At 38.1% G+C, this 21,474-nt stretch overlaps 1 protein-coding gene across 21 annotated transcripts in view, besides 1 other annotated feature; it reads left to right on the top strand.

Annotated features, from left to right (window-relative positions):
• DMXL2 (Dmx like 2) overlaps nucleotides 1–17,123 on the top strand; it is a 174,981-nt gene extending 157,858 nt beyond the window's left edge. For 4 of the 21 annotated variants that reach the window (NM_001378458.1, NM_001378457.1, XM_047432317.1 and 1 more), the window contains exons 32-44: nucleotides 38–239; nucleotides 1,418–1,535; nucleotides 5,254–5,316; nucleotides 6,119–6,205; nucleotides 6,287–6,408; nucleotides 7,448–7,586; nucleotides 8,545–8,605; nucleotides 8,721–8,848; nucleotides 9,686–9,763; nucleotides 11,273–11,364; nucleotides 13,217–13,269; nucleotides 14,568–14,785; nucleotides 15,721–17,123. In NM_001378458.1, the coding sequence (NP_001365387.1) occupies nucleotides 38–239; nucleotides 1,418–1,535; nucleotides 5,254–5,316; nucleotides 6,119–6,205; nucleotides 6,287–6,408; nucleotides 7,448–7,586; nucleotides 8,545–8,605; nucleotides 8,721–8,848; nucleotides 9,686–9,763; nucleotides 11,273–11,364; nucleotides 13,217–13,269; nucleotides 14,568–14,785; nucleotides 15,721–15,930 (1,571 nt within the window). In that variant the 3' untranslated portion in view covers nucleotides 15,931–17,123. Of the gene's footprint in view, nucleotides 1–37; nucleotides 240–1,417; nucleotides 1,835–5,253; nucleotides 5,317–6,118; nucleotides 6,206–6,286; nucleotides 6,409–7,447; nucleotides 7,587–8,544; nucleotides 8,606–8,720; nucleotides 8,849–9,685; nucleotides 9,764–11,272; nucleotides 11,365–13,216; nucleotides 13,270–14,567; nucleotides 14,786–15,720 lie in introns of those variants that run through there. The other 17 variants (NM_001378460.1, NM_001174117.3, NM_015263.5 and 14 more) reach the window with 11 other exon arrangements.
• Nucleotides 14,272–15,471: an enhancer, noted in NCBI's record as "MED14-independent group 3 enhancer chr15:51741640-51742839 (GRCh37/hg19 assembly coordinates)". NCBI's record gives its function as "activates an origin of replication core promoter dependent on BRD2, BRD4, P300/CBP and CDK7 cofactors, and independent of MED14, by STARR-seq in HCT116 cells {active_cell/tissue: HCT116}" and the evidence as "EXISTENCE:reporter gene assay evidence [ECO:0000049][PMID:35650434]".

The raw sequence follows: 21,474 nt of genomic DNA, 5'->3' as shown, positions 1-21,474 counted from the left end.
TTTATTAAAATAAATAACATATTCTGTCACCTTGTAGAGCTGCCTGTAACATCACCATTAGGTATTGCTGTGATTAAAAACTTGGAGAACTGGGAACAGATCTTGCAAGAGAAAATGGATCAGTTTGAAGGTCCACCCCCTAACTATATCAACACATATCCAACTGACCTTTCAGTGGGAGCTGGACCAGCTATTCTTCGAAATAAAGCAATGCTAGAACCTGAAAATACCCCATTCAAGTAAGAAAGCTCTTATAATGCTGATAAAGAGCGTAGCTTAACTTTTCTGGAAGACAGTTTGGCTAAATATGCCAATATACTTTAAAACATTCATAATTTTGAACCTGCAGTCCTATTTTTAGCAGAATACGCTTAAGAAAAATATCAGAAATTTGAATAGAATTTTTCCCAGTATTATCTGTAATTCATAGACATTCCATTTACATAAAGGAAAAAGTCTTTATTGTATTAATTTCCGGTGTGGTGTTTTTTGTTTGTTTGTTTGTTTGAGACAAGAGACAAGGTCTCACTCTGTCACCCAGGATGGAGAGCAGTGGTGCAATCTCAGCTCACTGCAGCCTCAACCTCCTGGGCTCAACCCATCTTTTTCACCTCTGCCTCCTGAGTAGCTGGAACAACAGGCGAGCGCCATCGGCTAATTTTTTTTGTATTTTTTGTAGAGACAGGGTTTCACCATGTTGCCCACACTGGTCTCAAACTCCTAGGCTCAAGCAGTCCCTGGTCTTGGCCTCCCAAAGTGCTGGGATTACAGGCATGTGCCACTGCGTATGGCATATTTATGTTCTTATTGTCAGAACTCTTACAGAATTTTTTTCTAACAATCTATATATGCAAATAAGGTGCTTCTGACTTTTGTCAGTAATTTAACAGTAAACACATTACAGGTTTTTAACTGATGTTTTGATCTTTTACCTGCCAATCTAGGTCCCTTTTGATAAGCAGCATGCTTTTTTTTTTGAGGTAGTGGACCCTGATTAATAGTTTTTACTATTAAAATAAGCTTGAAAGAACAAAGCTTTTTAGCTTGTTAGGCTGTTAGAATCGGTATCTATGACTTGTATTCATTGTTGATATGCTTTAACCAAGAGAACCAATATAAAGTATAATTTAAAAAGAGAATAATAAGAGATTCATTTGACTCTCAGCTTAACTGGTTCATTCAGTGTAATTAGAGAATTAGTTGCTAGATGAAATGATTTTTAGGAGAACTAAAAATTAAAAGTAAACTGTACAGTTTTGTTGAGCTTAATGCTGTGTCTTCTTTGCAATAGATTATGAAGGTTTTAAAAATAAATATCTTTGCAATAGATTGTGAAGGTTTTAAAAATAAATATCTGCAAATATAAACATATTTTCTATAGACTAAAGTAGTGTGATATGTTAATTTTTTTTAATAGGTCCCGGGATTCTTCTGCATTTCCAGTCAAACGACTTTGGCATTTCCTTGTTAAACAAGAGGTCCTTCAAGAGACATTTATTAGATATATTTTCACTAAGAAAAGAAAGCAGAGTGAGGTATTTTGAGAAAAATATTTTCTATTGTAATTTTTCTTTAGTTTTCTTTAACATTTCTAAGGAAATCAGTGCTTGATTTATTCTGAAATTTTCTTTCTGGTTGGGTAATAGTCAAAGTTCACTAAACTACCGTGAACTACTTTTAAGATAAAACCTTATAATTTTCATTTCATAGCAATGAAACAACATAGGTACTTTGATAAATTACATATATTCAAGTGAAAGTTGGTACTTTACAGTATTTGTCATTAGGTTTTTACACATAATAAACATTGTGATGGATGGCTTGAGGAATTTAATATATAAGCTTACTCTATAATATTCTCCAAATATGTACTTAAAATATAAAATAGCCCTTTAAAAGCATTTTCTTTACTTAGCACTTAGAAATGAACAGAATGATGATTTGAAGCAACAAATTCAGGATACTTTTGTGAGAGAATAAACTACAGAAATAGCAAATACAAGATGAAGGAAGATTGCTCTTACAAAGCAAGACAGAGGTTCTGCATTGCATGGTTATTTTTAAGCTAATACAATTAGTAATGTAATAGCAGACATGGTTCAAGAAGAATTAGCAGTTTGGGAGATTGGCAAGTGACCTCTTCCTTATAAAAGTGGGACCTTTTATATGAGCATTTCAGTCTGTTTGGCTATTTAGTGAGGTAATTAGTGAGGGAATGAGCAGTTTGAAGAGTATTCAGAGTTGAGCGTCTGATGTAATTAAAGATTTGGCAAACATGGCCGGGCACGGTGGCTCACACCTGTAATCCCAGCACTTTGGGAGGCCGAGGCGGGCAGATCACCTGAAGTCAGGAGTTCATGACCAGCCTGACCAACATGGAGAAACCCCATCTCTACTAAAAATACAAAAGATTAGCCGGGCGTGGTGGCGCATGTCTGTAATCCCAGCTGCTCGGGAGGTTGAGGTAAGAGAATTGCTTGAACCCGAGAGGCAGAGGTTGCAGTAAGCCAAGATTGTGCCATTGCACTCCAGCCTGGGCAACAAGAGCGAAACTCTGTCTCAAAAAAAATAAAGATTTGGCAAACACAATCAATGAGAAGAGAAGAAATGAATTATATTTCGCTTAGAAAAGTGAAAACAGAGAGAGTCCATACGGCTCAATTTCCCGAGATAAAGTATAAAATTGCTTCTCAGTTTTTCCTCATGCCCAGGGCAGTGGAACCTACCATACTTGTTCTTTTTCCCACTCACCCACTTACCTGAATGGTAATTGTGGTCAGCCCTTATGAACAGTCATTTGTTTTCTCTATGGATTTAAAAATTATATACTTAAATGAGGAAGTAGAAGAATGAACTGTAGAGACCTTTTGAGTCCTAGTTATAAGCTTTTTCATAACAAAAGACCCTTATGGCATTGAAATTATTGATGTGACTTTGTTAGGGAAATCAGAGGCAAATTATTTGCCTCTGTCATTTAAACCACTGTGTATAGCATTTCCTATAGTGATGCTGAGTCCAAATTCCATAAACTAAAATATAGGAATCTAAGATAGTGATTTAAAATAAAAGATTTTAGCCAGGCATAGTGGCTCACACCTGTAATCCTAGCACTAGGTGGGGGATCTCCTGAGCTCAGGGGTTTGAGACCAGCTTGGCAACATGGTGAAACCCCGTCTCTACAAAAGATACAAAACAATTATCCAGGTGTGATGGTGTATGCTTGTAATCCCAGCTACTTGCAGGGCTGAGGCAGGAGGATTGCTTGAGCCCAGGAGGTGGAGGTTGTAGTGAGCTGAGATCACACACCACTGCACTCCATCCTGGGTAACAAAGTGAGACCCTGTCTTAATCAATAAGATTTCTGGTCAATTAGGGGCTCTGTTATTCACAGAAAACCAGTTCATTGAGTGATCAATTTTCTGAGTGTTTTGTTCTTCAAATTATTAAAATTAATGATTTATCACAAGTATGTTTTAAGTATTGGTAAGGTTGATAGCAGCTTGACTGGTTGACTTGTCAGAGTGTAGAGTGCTGTGGGAAGCCAGGTGTCTGGGTTTCTTGGACCCTCCCATTCTCGTCTTGCCCTTCCCCACGAGTTTGCTTCTTCCTTAACTAATTCTCCCCCTCTCCGCCCCTTAGTCTCCCTTCCATTATGCCCCTCAGTCTCTGTGTGTTCTATTTTTCTTCCAGCAGTGGGTCCCCATGAACAGGGAAGTAGGACAGAGATAAACGGAATGTTTCTTAAAGTGCTATATAAGCATCAGTTGGCTCCAAGGAAGGGAAGTACATGGCTGGGAGTTAGGATGGAAGAATTTTTATCATGTACCCTTTTAATTTTAAAACATTGAATGGAATTACTGTCTTGTCCAGTACTGTCCCATAGAACTTTCTGTGATGATGGAAATCTGTATCTGCATAGTCCAACATAGTAGTCACCAGCCACATGTGGTTACTGAGTACTTGAAATGTGGCTAGCATGATTGAGAAACTGAATTTTAATTTTAATTGATCTAAATTTAAATAGTTACATATGGTTAGTGATTGCTGTTTTGAATAGCTCAGATCTGAAAAAAAAGGTGTTTTATTAAGAAAAAAATTATGAATAAAACATTAAGGCTGTTAGGACAAAATAAAAACTCGTCGTTAGGCTCAGAAATATGCAAAACTTACTAAAACTCTACCCAATCCAGTAAGAGTGCTTACATCTTTAAAATTGTCAAATAGGATTTTGGTAATCACTAAATTTGGCAAATTCAGAAAATTGACCAATAAAATTGGCAGGCTAATCCTAAAAATGCTGGGTGCATTTAAAAAAAATCCCTGAGAAATGCTGAAGTTATATATTTATAAGAATAAGATCTTTTATTCACTGAAGATATTACAGGAAAATATTTCACAAAACAAGTTTTTGGGAAACAGATTGGTGAATTCAGCTAGTTAAGACAAATAGATTCTTCAGCAGTTTGGCCTTCACTGAGTTAGCTGTGCCACACATTGACCATTCCTTGGAAGTTTTCTTGGATGCATCTTTATCAGCTGCAGCAGCCATAGGGGAGTCCCTGGAGGCATGGGCAGAAAATTTGAATGGCCCTTCGTGATGAAAGGAAGGCAGTCACCTGAAAAGGTATGAGGAAGAGTTTGTTTCTCTGATCAAACCTTCAGAGTTTCCACAGCAGAGCAGAAATATAACTTCTGATTGCAGCCATCCTTAGGACCCTGCATCAACCCGGGAGCAAATTACTGAGTTATTTCTTTTTCCGTGCCTGATTTTATTAAACATTTATTTACTTAGAGAAAAATCATCATATTCCTTATAAGAGTGAAATAATTATCAATATTTTGAATCTATGTTTAGAAATAAATATTTTAATTTGTATTTTAAATCAACCCCTATAGGGCAGGAATTTATGTAGCATCTTCTGCATCTGCTTATACAAATGGGCTTTAATTTTATAGATTACCAGTTATGTAACTTAGATTTCTTAAAACTGTATACAGATAACTAATTTTTATTTTGAAATAGCTTTTATGTTCTTGTGTTTATGTAATAGTCACATTAATTTTGCTCTTTTGGCTTTGTGTTGTGTTTATTTGATGACTGTTTTATTCGGTTTAATTTTTTCTTGATTTTGCAAATTCATTTTTATCATCTTTAAGTGGTGGAGTGGCCATTTCAGCTTGAAATATTTCACTGTCTTTATAATTTCATTCCATGCATGTGTTTTGTGTTTGTGACGGTGTGGTGGTATTTAGTCTATAGAAGAACATGTGGAGCAGGTCAACCAAAACTGCATAGCAGAAGATTGCCACATCAAGGTAGTATTCCAAGATCTTGTATTTAGCTCATTCTTTAAAGTTCAAGGAGCTAACGCCTCATCTCTGATACTAACCATGACCTGCCCAACTGGCTAACTACTCAGAGAACTCATAGTACTCCCATACCACTTCAGTGGCACAGGGGAGGAGATGCTTCACTGTATCTGGCTTGCTCTGTCTTGCCCTTGGTTCTTCTCTTTCTTGCTCCCTGTCCCATCTTCACTTGTCACTTTTTCTGTTTTAAGCATGGCTGTTTCATCTTCTTGATTCTGCCTTTTCTTTCCTTCCCATCACCAACCCTAAGCCATTGCATCTTCCTCTCATCAGTCTCTTTTATTCCTTTCGAAGTATCCCTCTTTACAACTTTTCCTTATTTCTGTCTCACCACCCTTACTTCAAAGGGTGGTTTCTTTGCGGTTTTCTATGGCTTTTTACTCCACTCTGTGCCTCTTAATGTATACACATTCTTATTGCAGAATATTTATGCACTTTTGGAAGAGCTAAGAGAGACATACTACTGTATAAATTACTAATAAAAATATATTAGCCATGTTTTATAATTAATCAGTATCTTACCATCACAGTGGAAATTGGGGTGATTACAGGACATCAGAGAATTTAAGCAAATTTTCCAAAGCTAGTTTTCAACACATTAAAGTTACTCTTACCCTTTTTTCTTGCTGCTGCTGCTGCTGCTGCTGCTACATTTTCTTCTTATCCTACATTTAAATCTTATGGGATGTGCATAACTCTAAATAGAGCTGTGCTGCAGCAACTAAAACTGCTGATGAATGTTTTCTAGGTTGAAGCTGATCTGGGCTATCCAGGTGGAAAGGCGAAAGTCATCCATAAGGAATCTGATATGATCATGGCATTTTCTGTTAATAAGGTAAAAGCTCTCATCATTATACACAGTGTATTTCTCCTTAGTGAAATTGCTTAAATCATCGATTCTGCCTTTGCTTTATAGGCAAATTGTAATGAAATTGTTTTGGCTTCAACACATGATGTTCAAGAACTTGATGTTACTTCTCTACTGGCCTGTCAGTCATACATATGGATCGGAGAAGAATATGACAGAGAATCCAAAAGGTTTGTCTCATAGTCACTTTTACATATAGTTTTCTGTAAGAAGTACCCACCAAATGGTTATGCACATGATTTGAATTATTTCAAAAGGTATACGTGTATCTCCTTCATTTGGGTAGGTGACAAATATAATTGGTTTAGCTGCCAGTGAAAGTCTTTGTCTACATTAACTGAATGAATTACACTTCCATTAAACCCTACACTATTGATAATATTTCAATAAGGATAATCCCTAACACTTGGCTTCATGATATTCAGTAAATTAATCTGATCTGGATAATTAAAACAGTAGACACAAATATGTTAATTACACTGAGTCACATTTACCGAGTAATTTTGCAGTGTTTCTTCTTATCACCTGATAAGCATACCTTTTCTTAAACATAAAAATGTAGACGGCTTTACTTTTCATTGAAGCTATGGACACTGCACCAAGAGTGTTTTGCCATTCTTACCTATTTTGAGGTTTCTTCTTTGTGGTTTGCCTTCCCTCCTGCTTTTCTCCAGACTCTTAGAAATTGTTCATGCTTGAGGATGGTGCCATGATAGTTTCTCTCCTCATTTTGTTGAATTCTTTTTTTTGTTAGTATGTGATATAACTAGGATTTAATATCACATTTCAGAGTAGATATAACCATGTACTATGATACAATCCATCCCAACAATTACTTTCACATTTTATATGTCTTACTCCAAGAAATCTTTAAACTCAAATTTCTTTAAACGTGTTAATTTGATACTGAGCTATCTGTACTTGAAGAGAACATAATATTTTTCCATAGATAACAACAAACTTTTGTTTCAACTTGTGCAGCAATAAAGTTGTCCCCAAACAACATTAGACTAAATTTACATTTTGCCAAAAGGGAAAAAAGTTAACCAGTATTAACATTGGCGATTAGGACTTGTACCTAAGTTTTTCTCATGGCTACTTAGTTTTTAAAATAAAGATTGTCCTATGGGTACATAAGAAGATTTTTAGTTGGAATTTGTGTTAAGAGAAAAGGGAATGTTCACAGTAACACATGAATGTTTTTCACAGTTCAGATGATGTTGATTATCGTGGTTCCACTACAACTCTTTATCAACCCAGTGCAACATCCTATTCAGCAAGTCAGGTGCATCCACCTTCATCTCTGCCATGGCTGGGCACTGGACAGACTAGCACTGGAGCTAGTGTGGTATGTTATTTACTTATAGGTATCATTTCTGGATTTGGACTCTGAAAAATCAGTTGGAATCTCTTTGACATAGGAATGATCCTAAATTTCAGGGACAAACACCAGTAGATAGGCCATGATAATGACAGCTGACATTTATTGTGGCTTTTTTATTTGGTGACAGGGTCTGGCTCTGTCGCGCAGGCTGGAGTGCAGTGGTGCAATTTCGGCTCACTGCAGCCTTGACCTCCTGGGCTCAATTGATCCTTCCATCTCAACCTCCCAAGTAGCTGGGACTACAGGTGCATGCCAGCGTGCCTGGCTAATTTTTGTATTTTTTGTAGGGATGGGGTTTCACCACGCTGCCCAGGCTGTTCTCGAACTCCTGGGCTCAAGTGATCTACCCGCTTCAGCCTCCCAAGGTGCTAGGATTACAGGCATGAGCCACCACACTGGCCTCATATGACTTTCTTAGTGTCAGATACATGCTTTTTCTCACAACAATCCTAGGTGGTAGGTGCTATTATTACCCTCCATTATCATTTTACAGATGAATAAACAGATACAAAATGGTAAAGCAAAGTTAAAGGGGAATTCATGTCTACTTCTAAGTGCTTGAAAGCATGTCAGTAACATTCTTGTCACTGTAGCTGGAGGGGTCCCATTCTTATGTTCTGCTCTGAAGCATCTGGAGGTGCTCCTGAATATCCTCAGGGAGGGGCACTTGAAGAAGAGTTCCTTTATTATGAGATGAAGCTCCTTGGTAACCTCACAGGCCAGGGCTATACCAGCAAGTGACTGTGCTTCCTCACCCTCTTCAGACAAGTGTTCTATGTAGTGGTTCAGAACATCCATAACAGGCTTTATCTCAGTAATAAGCAAGGTGTAAGAGAATAAATGTCAGAATTTATCCTGAAGCATATCCTTCCTCATCTTTTCTGCATACACAAAATAAAATTTTTAAAATTTTCTTTTAAAGCTTATGAAAAGGAATCTACATAATGTTAAGAGAATGACTTCACACCCAGTCCATCAATACTGTAAGTATTTATGACCTAATAATTGTAAGTGTCCTCATTTGGAGGTTGATTTATAGAATAGAAAATATTGGAACTCTTTAATTTCTTATTTCCTGCTTTTTCTCTTGTGTTTCAGATCTTACAGGTGCTCAGGACGGCAGTGTACGAATGTTTGAATGGACGCGGCCTCAGCAACTTGTCTGCTTTCGTCAAGCTGGCAATGCAAGAGTTACTAGATTATATTTTAATTCACAAGGCAACAAGGTTAGTTTCTGGGGGCTACTGCTGAATTCATCTGAAAATAGTTGTGGATATTTAGGAGTAAGTGATAAAAGTGCATCGAAAAATGAATTCAGTGACCCTGGATTTAAACTGAGTAGACAGTTTGTTGGAGTCTATTCATACACTCTCTTTTCTTCCAATAGAAGCAAAAATCTACAAAATTTAGTATGGATTAATCATCTATTTAAAGATACTAAATATACTGTGAGAGTAAAAAAACTGCCTGTGTTGAGTGTGTTGGTGATTCCTGTAAGCACAGTAAAGTTCTTGAGAGAAACCTAGTTTCTTACTAAATTTCATCAGTAAGAGGTTAGAGGAAAACAGTGAAACAGGTAAGCAGTTAAGAAGTAATGGAAGGGCCAGTCACAGTGGTTCACACCTGTAATTACAACACTTTAGGAGCCCAAGGCAGGAGGATTGCTTGAACTCCAGCATTTGAGACAACCTGAACAACAAAGGGAGACCACATCCCTACAAAAATTTTTTTAAAAAGCCCAGGCATGTGCCTCTAGTCCTAGCTACTCAGAAGGTTGAGGCTGGAGGATCCCTTGAACCCAGGAGTTTGAGGTTATAGTAAGTTATAATTGCACTACTGCACTCCAGCCTGGGTAACAGAATGAGACCCTGTCTCTAAAAAAATTTAAAAAAAAAGTGACAGGGAATTTTTTAGCACTTGGACTTTTTGGGAATGACAGCAACAGAAACATAGTTAGAGGCAGAATGTTTATTTAGTAGGGCCTTAGTGAATCTTCCTTCCATGTTTTTACCTTTGCTGTGGATGCTAAGAACATGTGTTTAGTAGTTATACTGTTCTTACAGTGTGGTGTTGCGGATGGAGAGGGTTTTCTGAGTATCTGGCAAGTTAACCAAACTGCATCAAATCCTAAACCTTATATGGTAAGTATCACTAAATGTTCCCAGGGCGCATATACACAACACTTTGTTCATGAAGTGTCTGTTTCAGACAGTGAATCTCATTGGTGGTCCTATTGGGAAAAGGATGATTTTTTTCAGCAATCCCAGCCTGACAGCAGCACCCATCCTTACCCTAGTTTTAGACTGAAATGACCTGAAAAACAAAAAGCCTTGCTTTTCACCTTGAAGTACAGTTTATATTTTAAAAATTTTGGGGGCTTTCCCTGTGTGTGGTACAACTTGGGTTTTTTTTCATTATTATTATACTTTCATCCATTTTGAAAACTCTATCTTCTTAATATACACATGATAAAATTCTGTCATTAAGAATCAGGTTCTGCCGGGCACGGTGGCTCACGCCTGTAATCCCAGCACTTTGGGAGGCCGAGGCGGGCAGATCACAAGGTCAGGAGTTCGAGACCAGCCTGACCAACCTGGTGAAACCCCCTCTCTACTAAAAATACAAAAATTAGCCAGGCATGGTGACACGTGCATGAAGTCCCAGCTACTCGGGAGGCTGAGGCAGGAGAATCGCTTGAACCCAGGAGGCGGAGGTTGCAGTGAGCTGAGATTGTGCCACTGCGCTCTAGCTTGGGCAACAGAGTGAGACTTCGTCTCAGAAAAAAAAAGAATCAGGTTCCAAACATCTGTTCCAATTTGTTCCAGAATTGTGCTTACCAGATTATAAAATAACCAATCCCAATGAGCCACCTTAATCCAAATTGGATTACAAAATAGTTGGTGATGAAGATAAGTAGATCTTTACCTGATGGAGATATGGTGGGGGAAAGGAACATGGGGGAGGGTGGAAGGTGATGCTGTCCTGTGTGAAACTTCAGGCTTCACATATATGGAGGGAGGTTCAGAACGCCTTGAACCTCCTGGGACCAGATAGATTACCCAAATACTTTTTAAAATTTTTCTAAACTATACATATGTTCTTAATTATGTGTATAAGATAATTCTCTTAAATTAGGACACTATAGACTGTACCTTGTCTATGCAGAAATGGAAGTAATCTTGAATTTATACTTTTGTCTTCAGTCAGATCTGTACCACTATAATTCCAGACAGAAAAACATGCATTATATTTTAAAATACCTTGACATCCTAAGACTAGTTGGGTCTGTAAGCATTTCCTTTGTGACTGTTAAAGTTTATTACATGTATTTGAGATCATTAGCACTAAAATTGACGGGTCTTAGGTAGGTTCATGTACTTTGATGTCCTATTCTTACATAATCTGAAAAACATGACCTTTAATTCTGTTTTTACCAACTCCAGTTATTAAAAATTATTGGACAGTAGCCAAATAATATACACATGACAGTTAAGCCTCATACTATCACTTATTCTTTTATCCTAGACCGAGTTTTTAAAAACTATTTTTAGCTCATGCATATAGTATGTTATTAGCAGACATGTATGTTGGTACTGTATCAAATTTTATCCAATGGTAAAATAACATCAGTTGCACTTTGTTTTTCGTAGAGTTGGCAGTGCCACAGTAAAGCCACAAGTGACTTTGCATTTATTACCTCTTCAAGTCTAGTTGCCACATCTGGACACTCCAATGACAATAGGTAGGTTGACAGAAAAGCAAAGTAAGAAATATAAAAACGTTAGAAATCCATACCTTTAGCAAGAATACTTTTCTATTAGTAGGGTTTTTCCACTCTAGGCATTAAAAAAAAAAACTTTGTTACATAATTCTTATTTCAGAGTGTTTTTTCTTACCAAAAAGAGAAAAGCAAAAATGAAAGTTATTCCTAATATATGTAATTTTTATTTTAAAGCTATTCAGTCTTTTTTAAACTACTACTGTTAACACTGTTAGTTTCTCTAGGACTAACAGGCATCTGATATTGTCTCCATCATTCTCAACATTTTTATTTTATTGCAGTAGGTTTGGGGGAATAGGTAGTGTTTGGTTACATGGATAAGTTCTTTAGTGGTGATTGCTGAGATTTTGGTGCACCCATCACCTGAGCAGTGTACACTGTACCCAGTGTGTAGTCTTTTATTCTTCACCCTCCTCCCACCCCTCCCAAGCCCCCAGAGTCCATTATATATCATTCTGATCCTTTGCATCCTCATAGCTTAGCTCCCACTTACAAGTGAGAACATACGACATATGATTTTCTACTCCTGAGTTACTTCACTTAGAATAATGGCCTCTAACTCCATCTGGGTTGCTGCAAAATGTGATTATCTCATTCCTTTTTATGAAGTATTCCATGGTGTATATGTACCACATTTTCTTTATCCATTTGTTGGTTGATGGACATTTAGGTTGGTTCCATAGTTTTGCAATTGTGAATTGTGCTGCTCTAAACAGGCATGTGCAAGTGTCTTTTTCATATAATGACTTCTTTTCCTCTGGGTAGATACCCAGTAGTGGGATTGCTGGATTGAATGGTAGTTCTGCTTATAGTTCTTTAAGGAATCTCCGTATACTGTTTTTCATGGTGGTTTTACTAGTTTACATTCCCACCAGCAGTGAGGTGTCCCCTTTTCACCACCTCCATGCCAGCGTCTATTGTTTTTTGGTTTTTTAATTATGGCCATTCTTGCAGGAATAAGGTGGTATCGTATTGGAGTTTTAATTTGCATTTTCCTGGTAATTAGTGGTTTTGAGCATTTTTTCCTGTTTGTTGGCCATTTGTATTTTGAGAATTATCTGTTCATGTCCTTTGCTCGCTTTTGATGGGATTGTTTTTTCTTGTTAAGTTCCTTGTAGATTCTAGATATAAGTCCCTTGTCAGATATATACATTGTATTTTCTCCCACTCTGCAGGTTGCCTTTTTACTCTTGCTGTGCAGAAGTGTTTTAGTTTAATTAGGTCCCATTTATTTATTTTTGTTGCATTTGCCTTTGGGTTCTTGGTCATGAATTCTTTAAGTCAATGTCTAGAGTAGTTTTTTTTGATGTTATCTTCTAGAATTTTTATGGTTTCAAGTGTTAGATTTAAGTTTGACCCATCTTGAGTTAATTTTTGTATAAGGTGAGAGATGAGGATTCAGGGACTAACAGGTATTTGACACTGTCCCCATCATTCTCAACATTTATTTTGACCTCACATGGTTTTCATTAGCAACACATGCCCATGAATAACATCTTGTTTCCCTGCAGTGGCTACCACCTGGGGATATAAAAGCATTCCTTATACTCAGGAAGTCATATCAGTTTCCTGGAGTGGCAATGGAAAGGAGATGGGGTAGAGGATGCAGAGACGGGCAGGACCATGTGAGATGGAACTGTGTAGTTTGACCCTACCCCCATCCTAGTTGGGAATCACTACTCTCTATAGGTGTGAGTGAACAAAAAAGATAAGAATGAATAAGCAAAATATTTGACTGAAAGACAGGTTGTCCCTGATGACGACTTATAACAATCATTTATGATGTATTTTTGTTATTGTGTTTCTTTAAAAGAAATGTTTGCCTCTGGGACACATTAATATCACCCGGAAACAGCCTCATTCATGGTGAGTTAAGGTCTATGATTTTTAAAAATATACCATGAAGGAATAATACACCATGAAGGAATGCTTTCTTGGTTTTAATTAGTGAATCCAGTGAGTGTTTATTGACAGGTTGAAAATGGAGAAATATTTAGAATGAATGACTAAAAATTTGGAAAGTTAATTAGCATATCTGGCTTCCTTGCTGAGTTAAAGATATATGGTCTCAGAAATCCAAAATAGTCTTTATATTCTATTCAGAAAATATGGTATGGATAGTGGTACTACTAACAAGGCTATTTAAGAAATTAGTTGCAAAGTATTCATTGAGCTTAATAGAAAATAACATATTTTAAAGAATTAAACCTCATCATAAAATACTTTTTGTCTTTTTTTCCTTTTTGTGGAGATCAAGGTCATGCTGTATTGCTCAGGCAGGTCTCAAGCTCCTAGGGTCAAGCTATCCTCCCACCTCTACCTCCCTAAGTACTGGGATTACAAGCATGAGCCACCACACCTGGCCCTAACCATAAAATAAAACAAAGGTTAACCTTATTATAATGACTAGAAATGTAAACAGTGCCATTTAAATATTATTCCTTTTAAGACAATACTTGCCAAATTAGTGTCCTAACTCTGTCTTCCACATAGTACCACCCAAAAAGTGCTCCATGCTCAAGTAAGTTTGGTTAAATGAAGTAGATTGTCAGAAAGACAGAAAGATTCTCAGTCTTTTAATACACTGATATGCATTTTGAAATATGTAGTTAATTCTCAATTTTATTGCAGAATTCTGCAAACAGTGGTTAACATTGCTTACAGATTTTCTGCATGTTAATTTGAATCTTTAATCATATTAAAATGCAAATACTCCTGGGAAGGATAATGAACTTCTTAACTTGTAACTGAAAACATTCACACATTTTCTCATAGTGTCGTTGTTTCAATTACTTACCTGAAAAGAACTTTTTGTACGGTACAGCACTTGGCTGGGTTAATACTCACCAACTTTGAGAAGGTTGGTCTCTGCTCTTCTGTATACTTTTTATGAGGCAGTATCACTTAGGGCTTAAGGTTTAAACTTTCTTTTTCTCTCTGTGTTCATTTCATATTGAGATTATGGATAAAAAGTTTGTTCTGACATTGCTTAACATTTTTCTTTAATCATGTGATTACAGAAATTCAATGACTTACAAAACAATAAATGTACCTTAGAATGAAAAATGCATCAGTAAGGTCTGTATTTAAATGTGGATGTAGACATCATAATTACCAAGACAAGAAATTGTTTTGAGAAATTCTCTGATGTTTTTCTTCTTCAGGTTTCACGTGCCACGATCATGGTGCCACGGTACTGCAGTATGCACCCAAACAGCAACTCCTAATCTCGGGGGGTAGGAAAGGACACGTCTGCATTTTTGACATCAGGCAAAGGCAGCTCATTCACACGTTCCAGGCCCATGACTCAGCTATTAAGGCTCTGGCCTTGGATCCCTATGAGGAATATTTTACCACAGGTTCAGCAGAAGGTAACATAAAGGTGAGTCAGTACAAGAGGTTGGAATGTGCTAAAGACTGATTGGAAAGAGAAAAAACAAAAACTCCACATTCTTTGAAATAAAGCTTCACTTTATTTCACTTGGGCTACTGCATGGAGATACTGCATATCTCAACACTCTGCCGCCTCCCCATGCTCCTGTATGGTTCTTTCTAAACTGTTATGGTCAATGAGATTATCAAACTCATTGGACTCAGGCCATTAGAAAGCTTTAAAGCATTCTATTTTGAGTAAAGTGTATGAGTTTAATGCATGAAATTTTTTGATGACATTAGTTTGGCTCCTTAGAAGCTTCTCCCCTCTCCCTCAGTACTCTTGTGTGTGGTGGAGGTGACGTTTCCAGTAAGTGAGCTAGTGCAGATGCTCCTTGACTTTATGGTGGGATTATGTCCCAACAAACCCATTATAAGTTAAAAATATTGTTAAAGTTGAAAAACATACTTTCAACTTAATATTTTCAACTTACTATGAGTTTATTGAGACTAACCTCAGGATAAGCCAAGGAGCGTGCTGAATGCGTATTGCTTTCACACTGTCATAAAGTCAAAAAGTCTTGTCAAACCATCGTAAGTAGGGGACTGTCTGTACCACACTACTTTTACATAGCCTTAGGACCTAGCTCAGCATGAGGAACACATTTAACTGAATTAACTCAAATAGTTAATTGAATTAGAGATGGGCTACATATGGTTAATATGAAGCCACAAGAGGATGTGAAGGAAAATATGGAAGGAGGACAGTAAATGAATCGTGGGAGTGGTGTTATCATTTCCCACTTAGATAAGCTCTTAGGAAAGAGGCAGTGGGTGGGAAGGTTGGGCTTTAGTGAGATCACTTGGGCCAAGGGAGCAGAAGGGCCATGTTTTTGCTTTTGGTCTTTTCGTAATATATTTTTAACTCCTTTTGTTTTGCACTAGGTTTGGAGATTGACAGGCCATGGCCTAATTCATTCATTTAAAAGTGAACATGCTAAGCAGTCCATATTTCGAAACATTGGGGCTGGAGTCATGCAGATTGACATCATCCAGGGCAATCGGCTCTTCTCCTGTGGTGCAGATGGCACGCTGAAAACCAGGGTTTTGCCCAATGCTTTTAACATCCCTAACAGAATTCTTGACATTCTATAAAGATTGGGGTTTTATTTTTATATACATTTCAGTTAAAAGGCACACTACAGTCATCACTAGGCAATTCTGCTTTCTAAGCAGTTGTATTGAAAACAGAGAATCTCTGTGTAGAATTTGAATATGACCCAAGCTGAGTATTATCTAAACAGGTTGGTGGAATGAATGCGCATGTACCTTATTATGCTGACATACTAAAAAAAATAAAACCTAGTATTGTATGAAGGATAGCTATTCTTTACAGCATTTAGCAAACCTGATTCAGAAAACATTTGAGATTAGCAAATTAGTAACTTGAAATAATGAAAAGGACGTTTATACCAAATTAAGGAAGAAAATGTTGCTGATTTGGGTTTTTCTTCCTGTTCTTACCACTGACTGAAGCATGCCTGCAGTCTCCTCCTCTGTTGAATGAAGGATAATCATAAGGTGTTTGTTAGGAGCGCTAGACCACCTGGAAAACTTTCTTAGCTGTGGAGCAGTGCGCAGTGACCAGTTCTCTGCTGTGAGAGGCCGTTTCCATTCTTTCCTGCTGAATATTTTTCCTGTTAGTGTTTATACTGAGCTAGTACTGTAACTTGCAAATGAGTGCAAATTTAAATGCAATGTTTTACTCACAATTTGCACATTCACATTTTTTGGACTGCTAGTTTTTCTATTTAAATATTTGCCTTCATGTTAGGAATGTACTATGTGAACATGACATATTTGTAGTTAACCAAACACACCTTCTTAGTCCAGTTTAGTACTTTTTCTTTTCGTGTATTCAAGGTTAAACACCCAAACATTTAAGGATATGTTGAAACTACACCAATAGAGCATTTCATATCATAATTAAAATGAATGTTAGGCTTCTTGTGGCCAGTTAATAGTTGATGAGATTGGTGACATTATTTATTGCCACAGCCTATTGTATAAACTATGCAGAGTTAAATATTTGCTTGTAAAATATTAGCCAATGTTGTCATTATTTTGATGTATTTCCTTGGTTATGACCAAAAATATGTTGAGATACTGAAACTAATGTCTGTGTGTTTAAATGTTTACCAGCAAATTGTCTTATCATGTTAATGAGAATGTTCAATGCCTGTGTGGTAAATAGTAAATACAATGGCATAAAAGTAACTTTCTCTGAAGATGTGATGTTCAGGCTGTGAAATATATATGTAAAAGAAAAATAAATGTTATTTGTTAGAGTTTTTAGTTTGATACTGTTTTTGACCATTGAGATTTTTAATTTGATAAAATGTTTAACTGTTAGAGAATTTGCAAGCTATTTGGCAGTCTATTCATTCATAAGTAAGTATTTACTGAATACCTTCTATACCAAAAGCCATTCTAGGAAATGGGATACAGTGGAGAGCCAGACAGAGAAAGCACACAATGTTGAGATTTAGCGGGGCAAGAGCTAACCTCACTATACCTTCTCCAGACAGATTTGAAGTTTATTGAATGAAGTACTAACCTCGTACCCAAAACTCAAATCTGAGTCTTGGCTATTTGCTTGCTCCTAAGTAAGTAAGGGAAGTCAGAATATGCCCACTGATAAGAAGAGCCAGGAAAATAAGCTTGTGAGTGACATCTCAATGCCTAAAGCAAAACTGATTCAAAGGAGCTTTCAGAAAAAAGGGAAGAGAACTTTCTCTGTCAGGTAAAAGCAGTAAGAGACTCTAGATTCACCTTCTAGCTTGAAACAACTAAAAGAAAGAAGACGACAAAATATATAAACAATGGTTCTCAAGACATTAAGCATCAGGTAGGGAGGGACAGTGATTCCTGAGAGGTGAGCATTTTAATTGTCCCAACTTACCACCTCAAGAAAGTTTCCAGGCCACAGGCAGGGAGAGAACCCAGGCAGAGCCTAATGGTTTCTCCAAGTTGCCAAGATGATAGAACTGCGAGTCTGGGGAATATAATGAGGATAGAGTTCGCAGGCCAAAGGCCACAGAGGGGCACAGGGAGAGGTACACAGAAGGTCTGTATTAGTCCATTCTCACACTGCTATAAGGACATACCTGAGACTAGGTAATTTATAAAGGAAAGAGATTTAATGGACTCATAGTTCCACGTGGCTGGGGAGGCCTCACAATCATGGCAGGAGGAAAAGGAGGACCAAAGGCACATCTTAACATGGCAGCAGGCAAGAAAGCGTGTGCAGGGAAACTGCCCTTCATAAAATCATCAGATCTCCTGAGACTTATTCACTATCACAAGAACAGAATGGGAAAAACCTGCCCTCATGATTCAGTTACCTCCCACTGGGTCCCTCACACAACACTTGGGGACTATGGGAGCTACAATTCAAGATGAAATTGGGTGGGGACACAGTCAAACCACATCAAGATCTTCCTCAATATTTTGCTGAGAAAGGAATCAGTGTATGTGTATGAGCAAATTGCTGGCACCCAGAACAATAGCCATCGAAAGGGATTAGAGGTAACAATCTAATCACACAAAGCTAGGAATTCAGCAGGAGGCCCCCCTTATCTGTGGCTTTGCTTTCTGTGGTTTCAGTTACCTGTGGTTAGTCATGGTCTGAAAATAGGTGAGGACAGTACAATAAGAAATTGAGAGAGGGAGAGACTATATTCACATAGGTTTTTATTACTGTATATTAATTGTTCTATTATTGTTGATCTTTTACTGTGCCTAATTTATAAGTTACACTTTTTGAGACAGAGTCTCACTGAGTCGCCCAGGCTGGAGTGCAGTGGTGCGATCTCAGCTCACTGCAACCTTTGCCTCCCGGGTTCAAATGATTCTCATACCTCAGCCTCCCAAGTAGCTGGAACCACAGGCATGTGCCACCATGCCCGGCTAATTTTTGTGTTTTTAGTAGAGATGGGGTTTCACCATGTTGGCCAGGCTGGTCTTGAACTCCTGACCTCAAGTGATCTGCCTGCCTCAGCCTCTCAAAGTGCTGGGATTACAGGTATGAGCCACCATGCCTGGCCTAAACTTTATCATATGTGTATATATAGAGAGGAAAACACATATATAGGGCTTAGTACCATCTGCAGTTTCAAGCATCCATCCACTGGAGTCTTGGAACATCTCCCTTGTAGATAAGGTGGGGGGACTACTGTAATTCATATTCTCACCAACCAGCTGGAAAACCTCATAATTCATGGGGCATTAGGTAGTACTCTCAAGGATTTTGCTGCAGTAGCAGGACAAAATTAGTCCTAGGATAAACACTATCATGGTCCTGCCTAAGAAAGCTAAAAAGGAAATGACCAAAAGCCAAATAGCTAAATTTTATCTGAAAACATAGCTCCAGAGTATTTGTAGGAATACAAAAATATCCAACACTCAACAAGGTAAAATTCACAATGTTTGACATTAAAAAAAATGCATGAAAAGTAGGTAAATACAAACCATAATGAGAGGGAAAACATACATCAAAACAGATACAGAAATAACACAGGTGATAAAATTAATAGCATAACTATTTCATATGTCCAAGAAGCTAGAGAAAAAATTCAATGTTAGGAAGAGATGTGGAAGACACACAGATTCAAATCAAACTTACAGAAATGAAAAGTATAATGTTTGAGATAAAAAAATACACTAGATGGGATTCACAGCAGATTAGACATTGCAGAGTGAAAAATTAGTGAATATGAAGGCACAATAGAAACTATCCAAAAGGAAACACTTTTAAAAAACATTGGAACCAAATAACACCAGTGAGCTCTGGGACAACTTTGAGCATCCTAATATATGTGTAATTGGAGTCCGTGAGGGAGGAGGGTAAAGGAAAAATATAATTAAAATAATGGCCAAATATTTTCCAGTTTTGATTCAACCACAGATCCAAGAGCTTTAATGAAACTCAAGCACAGGAAACAAGGAAAGTAGAGCCATACTCATCATAATCAAATTGCTTAAAATCAATGATAAGAGAAAAATGTTAGGATCACAAAGAGAAAATAGACACATTGCATACACAAGAACAAAGATAAGGATGACAGCAGATTTATTTCAGGAACAATGCAAACCAGAAGAGTGGAGTGACATCTTTAGAAGTTTTGGAAGCAAAAAAGCTGTCAATCTAGAATTCTTTGACCAGTGAAAATACCTTTCAAAAATGAAGTTTACATAAAGACATGAAAAGGGTAAAAGAATTCATCGCCAGCAAATCTGCACTATAAGAAATATCAAAGGAATATAAAGAAAGTTTCTGAATCAGAAGGCAAAATGATACCAGATGGAAATACGGATCTATTCAAAGGAATAAAGAGTACCAGCAATTATAACTACATAAGTAAATTACATAAAGACTTTTCCTCATTGTTTAAATCTCTCCTAGACAATTGTTTAAAGCATAAGTAAGGCCAGTCATGGTGGTTCATGCCTGTAATCCCAGCAATTTGGAAGGCCGAGGTGGGGCGGATCATCTGAGGTCAGGAGTTCAAGACCAGCCTGGCCAACATGGTAAAACCCTGTCTCTACTAAAAATACAAAAATTAGCCAGGCATGGTGGTGGGCATCTGTAATCCCACCTACTCAGGAGCCTGAGGTGAAGAATTGCTTAAATGTATGACAACAGCAGCACAAAGGCCAGGAGAGAACTAGAAGTATACTGTTGTAAACTTTTTACACTATATGTGAAGTGATATATCACTTAAAGTTAGATAAAAATCTACAGTATAATTAGTTTGGGGAGTGACATCAGCAATATAGCAGGATGGGACTTTCCAATGCTCACCCCCTCACAGAAACACCAATTTAAAGGACTATCCATGCATGAGAATACACTCACAAGAGCTGAGGAAACCAAATGAGAGATTACAGCACCTGAATGTTGCACAGAAATCAGAAAAGATGCTGTGAAGAGGATAGGAAAGAGTTTTACATGACCCATCCGTGCCACCCTCCCTCCACCCCTGGGTAGTATGACGTGGGGAGAGATACCTTCTGCATGGGGGATAGAGAGGGAGGTGAGCACCAGAATGGTGCCTCGGACCCCAACACCAGGCCTGCCCCAGTAAAACCCAGTGCTAGACCCCTATTGCCCAGATTTCAGGCCAGTTCCCGCAGACTGAGCCTCTAAGCCCATCTAAGCACCAGGCAGGATCCTGCAGCCCCAGGCCCCTCACTGGACTTCGTCTCTGGGCCCATACAATTTCTAAGCTCACCTGCAGCAGCCCCAGGCTCTGGACTGGTTCCAATGCCAGGCCAGACACCATAGTCAGGCTCCAGGATGGCCCCAAGGACTCAGTCCTCAGACTCATCCAGCAACAGGCAGACCCTAATGGATATAGGCTCCAGACAAGATCCCATGGAGCTGCCTGCAGGCCCGCCTTGGTGCCAGTGGACTTATTCTCTCAGGCCTACCCCAGGGCTGGGCTGTCCCCAGTGGCTCCATGCTCCAGATTGTTCCCAGGGCTGGGCTGGCCTCTATAGCCCTGGGCTTCATGCTCCCTCCAGTGTTGGTCCGGTCCCTGCAGCCCTAGTCATCAAGGGGACACCCATGGACCCAAGCTCCAGGCCTGCCCTAGCACCAGTTTAGCACTTGCAGCCTCAGGCTTCAGACCATTCTCA

The sequence above is a fragment of the Homo sapiens genome, chromosome 15 (assembly GCF_000001405.40).
Source record: "Homo sapiens chromosome 15, GRCh38.p14 Primary Assembly".
Lineage (NCBI taxonomy): Eukaryota > Metazoa > Chordata > Mammalia > Primates > Hominidae > Homo > Homo sapiens.
This window is presented reverse-complemented; position numbering and strand designations above follow the sequence as displayed.